Raw genomic sequence first — 9,619 nt, 5'->3', positions numbered from 1 at the left:
TGGCATGAGGTGGTATCCCATTGTCGTTTTGACTTGGATTTCTCTAATAAGCAGTGATTTTGAGATTTTTTTTTCATATGTCTCTTAGCCACGTGAATGTCTTCTTTTGAAAAGTGTCTGTGCATATCCTTTGCCCACTTTTTAATGGGGTTGTTAGTTTTCTCCTTGTAAATTTGTTTAAGTTCCCTGTAGACTCTGGATATTAGACCTTTGTCAGATAGATTGCAAAAATTTTCTCCCATTCTGCAGCTTTTCTGTTCACTCTGATGATAGTTTCTTTTGCTGTGCAGAAGATTTTTAGTTTATTTAGACCCAATTGGTTACATTTTTGCTTTTGTTACAATACCTTTTGGTATTTTAGTAATGAAATCTCTGCCAATGTCTATGTCCTGAATGGTATTGCCTAGATTTTCTTCTAGGGTTTTTATAGTTTTGGATTTTACATTTAAGTCTTTAATCTATCTTGAGTTAATTTTTGTATAAGGTATAAGGAAGGGGTCCAGGTTTTATTTTCTGCATATGGCTAACCAGTTCTCCCAGCACCATTTATTAAATAGGGAGTCTTTTCCTCATTGCTTGTTTTTGTCAGGTTTGTCAAAGAACAGATGATTGTAGGTACAGACTTATTTCTGAGTTCACTATTCTCTTCCATTGGGCTATGCGTCTGTTTTCATACCAGTATCATGCTGTTTTGGTTACTGTAGCCTTGTAGTACAGATTGAAGTCAGGGAGCATGACTTCTCCAGTGTGGTTCCTTTTGCTTAGGATTGTCCTGGCTATTCAGGCTCTTTTTTGGTTCCATATGAATTTTAAAGTAGTTTTTTTTTTCTAATTCTGTGAAGAATGTCATTGGTAGTTTAATGGGAATAGCATTGAATCTATAAATTACTTTGGGCAGTATGGCCATTTTCATGATATTGATTCTTCCCACCCATGAAATAAAAAATATAATTGAGTCCCATCATCATATCATGAAAATGGCTTTAAGAGAAAACTAGTAGCTGGGCACAGTGGCTCATGCCTGTAATCCCATCACTTTAGAAGGCTGAGATGGGCAGATCACTTGAGGTCTGGAGTTCAAGACCAGCCTGGCCAACATGTAGAAACCCTGTCTCTACTAAAAATACAAAAAAAATTAGCTCAGCGTGGTGGCAGCCACCTGCAGTCCTAGCTACACAGGAGGCTGAGACAGGAGAATTGCTTGAACCCAGGAGGTGGAGGTTACAGTAAGCTGCGATCTCACCACTGCACTCCAGCCTGGGTGACAAACAAACAACAAAGAAGAGAAAACTAGTTAGATGAATATTATTGCTTCCTATTTTCAACCAGTAAATAGTTGCCACTGATAAATTGACAGCCATGAGTCTATCAAGAATCCTCTTGATATATTATATACTACAACATGACTGTTCACGGGGGAAAATTATAGGAAACAACGTATGTGTACTTCTTGATTTCATGATACAAGACAAGCACAAAAGCACCACTCATGCCACTGAAAACAATGGACCATGAACCCTTGAAAAATCTTTGCCTCCTTCATCACGAGCAATGTTCCTTCAGCAGTCAAAAATGCCTGTGTACTCAAGACCAGCCTGGCCAATATGGTGAAACCCTGTCTCTACTGAAAATACAAAATTAGCTGGCCTTGGTGGCTCACGCCTGTAATCCCAGCTACTCAGGAGGCTGAGGCAAGAGAATCGCCTGAAGCTGGGAGGTGGAAGTTGCAGTAAGCTGAGATCGTGCCACTGCACTCCAGCCTGGGCGACAGAGACTCCATCTAAAAAAACAAACAAACAAACAAACAAACAAAAAAAAATGCCTTTTTTTTGTTTTTTGTTTTTAGACTCCATCTAAAAAAAAAAAAAAAAAAAAAAAAAAAAGCCTGACTGCATCGACATTTAGCAGTGAACAGTGTCAAATGGATAGGAATTCAACCCTGCAATGACAATGACAGGCTGTGTGTAATCATTCAGCTGATGATGATGTAGTACTCTTGGAATCTGGAAGCATTCCCTTTGCAGTGTCACAGATACTGAAGTAGGCAGCTGGGTAGATGCTAATACCCTGCACAGACATGGTAAAGCCTTGGTGCAGGCCCTTAATCCTATTAGATTTGTAGATCTTAACCAGACAGTCACCAAGGCTTCTGAATTCCCTTTTAGCTCCAGCTTTACCCACATCCACTGGTAGATTGGTACAGACAAAATCAAGAGGGTACACAAAACACAAGGATGTGGCCCCAGCGCACGCCTGATGCCAGGTTCCTTGCAACATAGTGCTGAAAGTGGGTCCTCTTGTCCACACTACCCAGGAAGATCTGCTAGTACTTATTTCGAAGGCGAAGTTGAGAGCCCCTGGGTGGGGAAATATCTGATGACATTGGCCAGGTTACCACGCCAGAAGGACAGGACTCTCTCCTCCTTGGGAATACAGACCACACAGTCTATAATGTGCTTGTACTGCTTATCTGTGGTAATTTCCTTGGTGGCATGCTGCACCTGCAGCAGCAGCTTGAGCCACTCGATAGGTGCTCCTGCTGCCTTAGAGATGGCTGTGACCACCCCACCTGCCAGAAGTCCCTGTTGAAGGACACAGCATCATCTGTCATGTTGAAAGGAAAGGGGAGGCAGGCTGCTGCGAGATGGGATTGGGCCAGGAACTCTTTAATTTCAGGGCTGGGGGGCCTCATGTTATTTCAGAGCGTAAGCTTGCTATTTATAGGACACATCTAAGAGTTTCCAGAAAAAATTATGGGACTGCAAGTCTCCTGAAATATTAACATTTGTAGTATTAATATATTATCTTTTTCCCTTTTAAGTTGTGGTAATAAAATATGGTCCTTAAAAGCCTGCCTTTTTGATATTTGTTGTGACATGTTTGATTGCCTAACATATGACCAATTTTATTTAAGGATTCTTTGGTATTTGAAAAGTATGTGTATTCTGAAGTTGCTTCATGCTATTCTAAATATATTGATAAGATCAAGCTTGTGAATTTTTCTGTTCAAGACTTTTGAATGTTTTCTACTTTTCTCTGATATTAAAAATTTTGAAAGAATTCAGTTAAAATTTTCTGTTTTATTTGGAAATCTTTTCTTATGGTTCTACCAGCTTCTTTTATTTTCCTTTTAGTAAAAAAAAAAAAAAAAAAAAAAAACACATCAAAACTGTGTTTTTACATGTACACAAGTTTAAAATCATGATATTTCTCTTTTTTTCCACTTGAAGTTACGTACTTATACCTGGTAATAATTTTTCATGTTAAGTATCTATTTTCCTAATATTAATATGACCACTTCAGTTTTTTTGTTTGTATTTATCTAAAATTTTACTTCTAATCCTTCCTTGTATGTGTGAGCTTTATATGAATCTCATGTAAATAACTGTATTTCTTATAGCTAATCTTGCAGACTTTATTTTGTTGGTTTTATTTGCTCCTTTTTATTTATTGTAACTAGTCATAAAATTGGGTTATTTCTACAATATTATTTCTGCTTTCTATAAGTCTTGATATTTTGCTTCTTTTTCTTGCCTTTCTTGCCTTATTTCATCCTGATTGAGATATATTGTTTTCTTCATTTTATTTTTTTCTCTCTATTCTTTTGGAGATTATATCCTGAATTTCTGTCGTTTTAGTCCTTTGGAGATTTTAAGATGACTATTAAATTTATCAAAGTCTAAAATTAATCAATAATCACCCTATTCTTAAATTACTACTAGAGTTTATGGGACTGCTTCAAAAGCTTTCTCTTCATATATTTGCTATTATTGTGCAGCATTTTAGCTATATTTCTCTTTTTTGTCCTACTTACTAAATATTGTTTTTGTCATTATTTTTTAAGGACAATGTTTTAAATTTATTCATACATTTCTGTAGATTCTCTCTGGCATTATTCTTTGAGAAATGCTATAACTAAGGTTTTGCATGTAATGTATGACTTCACTTCTTGTTTGTTGCAAAATGAGTTTAGTTTTTCTTATTCTTGAAAGGTAATTTTAATTAGTATACAACTTATCTGAACTTTGGATGTATCCTAACTGTTTCCATTGTTTTGTTGACAATTCAACAAACTTATATTGACTTCTATTGTTCTCCTCAATTGGTAATCTGTCTTCTTCATATATCATCTTTTAGTTTTTTTCTTTGTTGAACCTCAGTTTCAATATAGTATCTAGAGATATATTTATTTTTATTTACTTCTACTTTAGATATTTTGGGCTTTGAATCTGAGAATTGGTTCTAGAAATTTCAGTTTCAGAAAAATCTCACCTAATATTGCTTACCATTCTTTTTATTTTGTAATTCCCAGTTTTAAAAGTAACCACCCTATCCTTGATGCTTCTTATACTCTCTTTTATATTTTTATATTATTGTATCTCTATGCTGTAGTATGGAAGCTTTCCTGAATTGTGTTTTCCAATTATTCATTTTCTCCATTGTCTATAACTGTCATTAACCCTCCTATTGAGCAACTATTAATTATTATACATTTCAGTTCTAGGAGGGCCTTTTGTTCTTCATTTTAGAATTTCCCCAATATTCTAATATAGACTGTGTTTATGGATTTGATTCTGTAGTTCTCTTTTTTTGTCAATTCTTGTTCATGCTGATTTACTTCTTCATGAATTTGGGATTTTTTATTATGTGCTATGTCTTGCAATTTTATTTTTGTGGCCTGGCCTAAAGGGTATTCTTCTAGATTCGATTTGCTTACTTCTGCTATGTTCCTGAAGACAAACTAAATTATTGGCATATGGATTTCAGTGCTAGAGATGCAGAATGAATACTGGGCCTGTTACACACACAATCATTAGTAATTCTCAGAAGAAACATTTAATTTCTATTTTCTGCTCTATCTGCAGGTAACCAGACTGAAGAGTCTCATTTGCCTGTATTTTAATCACTTGGGATATTAAGTTAGGGGTCTTGGTTTTTAAGATGAAAATCCATAGGGCTTTACACTTTTTGAGGTTCAAGCTTTGTCTCCTGTAATTTGCCACGTAGTCCTTAGAAATGCGTGCCCTAAAACACAGGAATAAGCAGTTGTCTCTAAGGCAAATGCTTATTTGTTTCTCTGAATTAGTGCTACCCAATAGCACAAATTGCAATTACTTTGTAATTTCTCTCAATTTCTTATCATCTCAGTCCTATATTTAAAACATTTAAATATACATGCATATATGTGTATATGTATGTGTGTGTGTATATATATATATATGTGTGTGTGTGTCTATATACCATCACTTTTGCGATTCTATGCTAAGAAGGTTTTTTTTTTTTTTTTTTGAGATGGAGTCACACACTGTTGCTCAGGCTGGAGTGCAGTGGCACGATCTCGGCTTACTGCCACCTCCGCCTCCCAGGTTCAAGCAATTCTCCTGCCTCAACCTACCAAATAGCTGGGATTACAGGCGCCCGCCACCACGCCCAGCTAATTTTTTGTATTTTTAGTAGAGAGAGGGTTTCACTTTGTCGACATTCCCACAAAAAACACAAGTAAATAAATACACCATGTAAAACAATTCTAGATTATCAATATATGCTCTTTAAAAATACGAATTTAGAAATCACTAGCTTAATAAAGCAAAACAAAACAAAATGAAACAAACATGTTAAAGCTTAAATAAAAACGTAAACCACACATAGCAGAAAGTAAAAATAACAAGTATATTGCACATTACAATGTAGTTTAATAGATTTGAATATTTGATGAAATAAAACATTTTATAAGACTAAATCAATTATTAAACAATATCTTAATAATCTTAATAAACAATAAATAGGTTAATAAATAATTTTCTTCAACATACAATTGATGCAGGATATTTTCTTTACCTTTTCTTGGTACTCGTGACAGAGGTACCTCATTTACTCAGCCTGCCCCTGTCTACCCCTTGCAGCAGGGAGCCTGCGAGCAAATGAGTGCAGTAACCTGAGCGAGTGCTTTGGGGAATTGGCAGGAATAAACCCCATTTACTCAGCTCGCCAAGCTCAACCCCTTGTTGGAGGGAGCACATAAGTGAGGGAGTGTGCGATCTGACTGACCATTTTTGGGTGCTGGCAGGTGCAAACTCGGTGTGGGCCACGCGGCAATGACCTTGTGGGGGTTCCTGCGACCCCTGAAGCCACAGAAGTCACGTTACAATGATCTTTCTGCTCTGCCCTCCGCAGATGGCTTAAGTGTTAATAGCTCAGTGGGAGGGCAAAGAGCCAATGTGAAAGCCTTCTTTTGGGTATCAGCACTCACGGCTCTCTACCTCTTGTCCTGCGTCTAGGAAAAATGAGTTTGCACGAACAAATTGAAGGATGGCGAACATGGAGGATTTTATTGAACTATGAAAGTGGCTCTCCGTGGGCAGGGGAGCTAAAAAGGCGACGGGACAGGCAGGTAATCTTCCCAAGTCTAGCAGTCTCTGGCTAGACACTTCTCTATCAAGTCATCCCTCTGAAGTCAAGTTGCTTCTTTCTAATGTCCAGCTGCTTCTCTGCTTCTCTCCAACTGAGTCTGGGGTCTTTATAGGCACAGGATGAAGGATGGGGCAGGCCATGTGTAGTTGAGGAAAATACAATATTTGGGCAGGAAAACAGGGATAGAAGTTCTCACTTTGGACCATCGGTTTCAGGCTTTTCGGCTTGAAGATGGGGTTTTGCCAGAGACCCGACCCTGTCTGCCTAGAATTTCTCTGCCTCCTGTCACTATCACAATAACCAATTAGGTAATATAAAAAATTGATTTATAGAAATAAATATATCAATATGAGAATATTAGGAAGGAAACTTCTCTGCCTATGTAAATAAAATTTGTATCTCTGATTGAAGAACTTTTTAAAAGAAAATGGAGAGATGTGTTTGCCCAAAGAGCAGTTATTTCTCTAGTTCACCACCTCTGGTGTATATTTGCATGTCACTCACCAAAGTGTGAGTAATAATTTGTGGGTGCTGTGGTTTATCATGATTCTTTCTTATTTTTTTCTATATTCTGAATGTTTATCTTGGGTATTCCTTTCACATTAAAAATATTTCCAACTAAACAATCAAGCAACTGTCACTTACCAACAGAGCTAATACCTAAATAACTTAGAAAATTGTTTTAAATATTTTTTCTTAATATCTAAGGGAGGAAGCATAATTTTTTCTGTATTAATATAGTTTTTAGTTTGCTTCTTTTTATTTTGAATCATATGTTATCATAACAATGAGTACATTGTCTCTTAATTAATATACTTTATTCTTTCCTTGCAAATGTAATGAACAATTATTTACATTTGCTTGAGTCTTTCTTTTTTTCTACTCCATAGGTCACTTTATTTGAGCTATTGTTGAATACCACTATTTTCCCTCCATAGAGTTCCTAAAACATGGGTGCCAGGCCACACACATGCCTTCCTCTTGAAAACAGACTAATTTTGAAGGGGTGTGTAAATTACCTTAAAAAATGTGTAACGGTATTCTAAATTTCTAAGCTGCATTTCTACTTTAATTTGCCTTTCATTGATTTCTTAAAAAAACACTGAATTGTTTGGTAATACAAATACAAAAATTCTTATATTTAAGTTTGTAGTTTAATTTTTGACTTCTCACAATTGAGAACAACTATATTCTTGTAAGAAAAATGATTTTTAAAGAAAAGTGTAAGGACCATTTTTTAACCCTGAAAGACATTTAAAAAGTAATACAATGGAGATATTTGTTAATACTTATTTACACAATAACCCAATATTTTTCTAAGTTAAAAAAATAAATCTATGTGCATTGAGTCTTTTGAAACAGTAGAAAATAATACAGAGGAAAATAATTACTCATGATGATCTCTCTACTTGAAGTAGTTTGTAAGCATAGTTACACACTTTCCCAGTCAATTCTTTTCTATATTTTTGGGTACATTTTTCCTGTACTTTTAAAATAATTTAAAATTTTTTTATACTTGTTACTTTTTTTCTGTACTTTTCCTGTATATTTTTACTTTTAGAACACTGAGCTAATTATATTTATAAGGCTTTGAAAACTCTCATTTTCCTTTGGTAGATATCATATTTTGAATAATTGTCTTATTCTTTTTTCTTTCCTCCACTGTCCACAAAGGGAATCTAGATTTGTCCCATGCTCCACACTTTTGATATTGCTAAACAACAAAGACAGCTAAGGGATTTGGAAACAACTCTGATTGGGGGTTAGGGGATAGAGAGATTAAATGAGAGGGAGAGACAGAGAGTGAGGAGAACAGAAAAAGAGAAAAGGAGAGAGAAGAAGAAAAAGGAGAAAGAAGTGGGGAAAGAGGAGGAAGAGGAAGAGAAATTAGGTTGAAAATGGGCTTCTTGAGGACTGTACTTCAGCTCAGAGAAACAATAGGTTAATGTATTTGAAATGTTTGCAGAAAATAACTCAATCAACATGGCTTTGAAGATGAAATGTTAGAAATACTGGAAATCTTCAATGATCCATTTGCTTGTGAAAATATAGAAACTGAATTGTAGCTTCCACTGTTTGCTGTAAATAAATTTTCTTGACTATTTTAATTTGATGCATGGCAAACTTTGTGTGACTTTTCTTTGAACCCCCACATTCTCTTTTTTTTTTAACTCATGTTTTAGAGTTAAGAAAGCACACACAAATGACTTTTGTACTTGGAACCTTTCACAGGTCTTCACCTGTTCGGTGCAAAACTTCGTCATCCACAGCACCATGCTTTGCAATTCTTAACCATGCACATAGTGATCTCCTGGTTCTTATATTGGGTAATTAATAAATAATTAATTACTATACCCACATTTTTTAGTGACATGCTTAAAATATAATTGATGCTGAAGGGGCAATTATGAGCGTGTCTTAGAAGACATGTAGTTTTATGATTTATTTGTTTAAAATTCAATCCTTGGAACTTTTCTATTTTGGAGGTTACTTTTTTATTTTTATCACTATTAAAATAACTTCAGTCAATTTTATTTTATTTTATTTTTTTGAGACAGAGTCTTGCACTGTTGCCAGGCTGGAGTGCAGTGGTGCGATCTCGGCTCACTCTAACCTCTGCCTCTCAGGTTCGAGCCATTCTCCTGCCTCAGCCTCCCGAGTAGCTGTGACTATAGGCGCCTGCCACCATGCCTGGCTAATTTTCGTATTTTTAGTAGAGACGGGGTTTCACCATGTTGGCTATAATGGTGTACATCCTCTTGATCTCGTGATTGGCCTGCCTCGGCCTCCCAAAGTGCTGGGATTACAGGCATGAGCCACCATGCCCAGACAACTTCAGTCATATTTTTGAAAACTATTTGTATTAATATCATTAAGATTTTTAGAATGTTTCTGAAGTAATTTTTTCTTATTTTAAAAATAAATATAAAGACACTATTAAAATATTTCACTACTCAAATATTTACTTCAAAACACAAGCATCATATGTTAGGAAAAAGTGAAGGAAAAAGCTGGGAAGTATATTGTAATGATGAGTTTTAGTCCTGAATTGTGCAAAAATCCAGCATCTATTTTAACTAAATAAGTTTTTTTGTAATCAAATAATCTGTATCATTATATTAATGCATTATTACTAAATATGTTTTTATTGTTTTAAAAACCTCTAGAAATTAGTTAAATATTTATAACTCATATAGCAGCATAAATT

General features: G+C 35.3%; 1 pseudogene; it reads right to left on the bottom strand.

Moving 5' to 3' along the window:
- On the bottom strand, positions 935-2,686 carry SLC25A5P4 (solute carrier family 25 member 5 pseudogene 4; annotated as a pseudogene).

This window comes from Homo sapiens, chromosome 13 (genome assembly GCF_000001405.40).
Source record: "Homo sapiens chromosome 13, GRCh38.p14 Primary Assembly".
Classification (NCBI taxonomy): Eukaryota; Metazoa; Chordata; class Mammalia; order Primates; family Hominidae; genus Homo; species Homo sapiens.
Note: the sequence above shows the minus strand (reverse complement) of the source record. Positions and strands in the feature narration are given on the sequence as shown.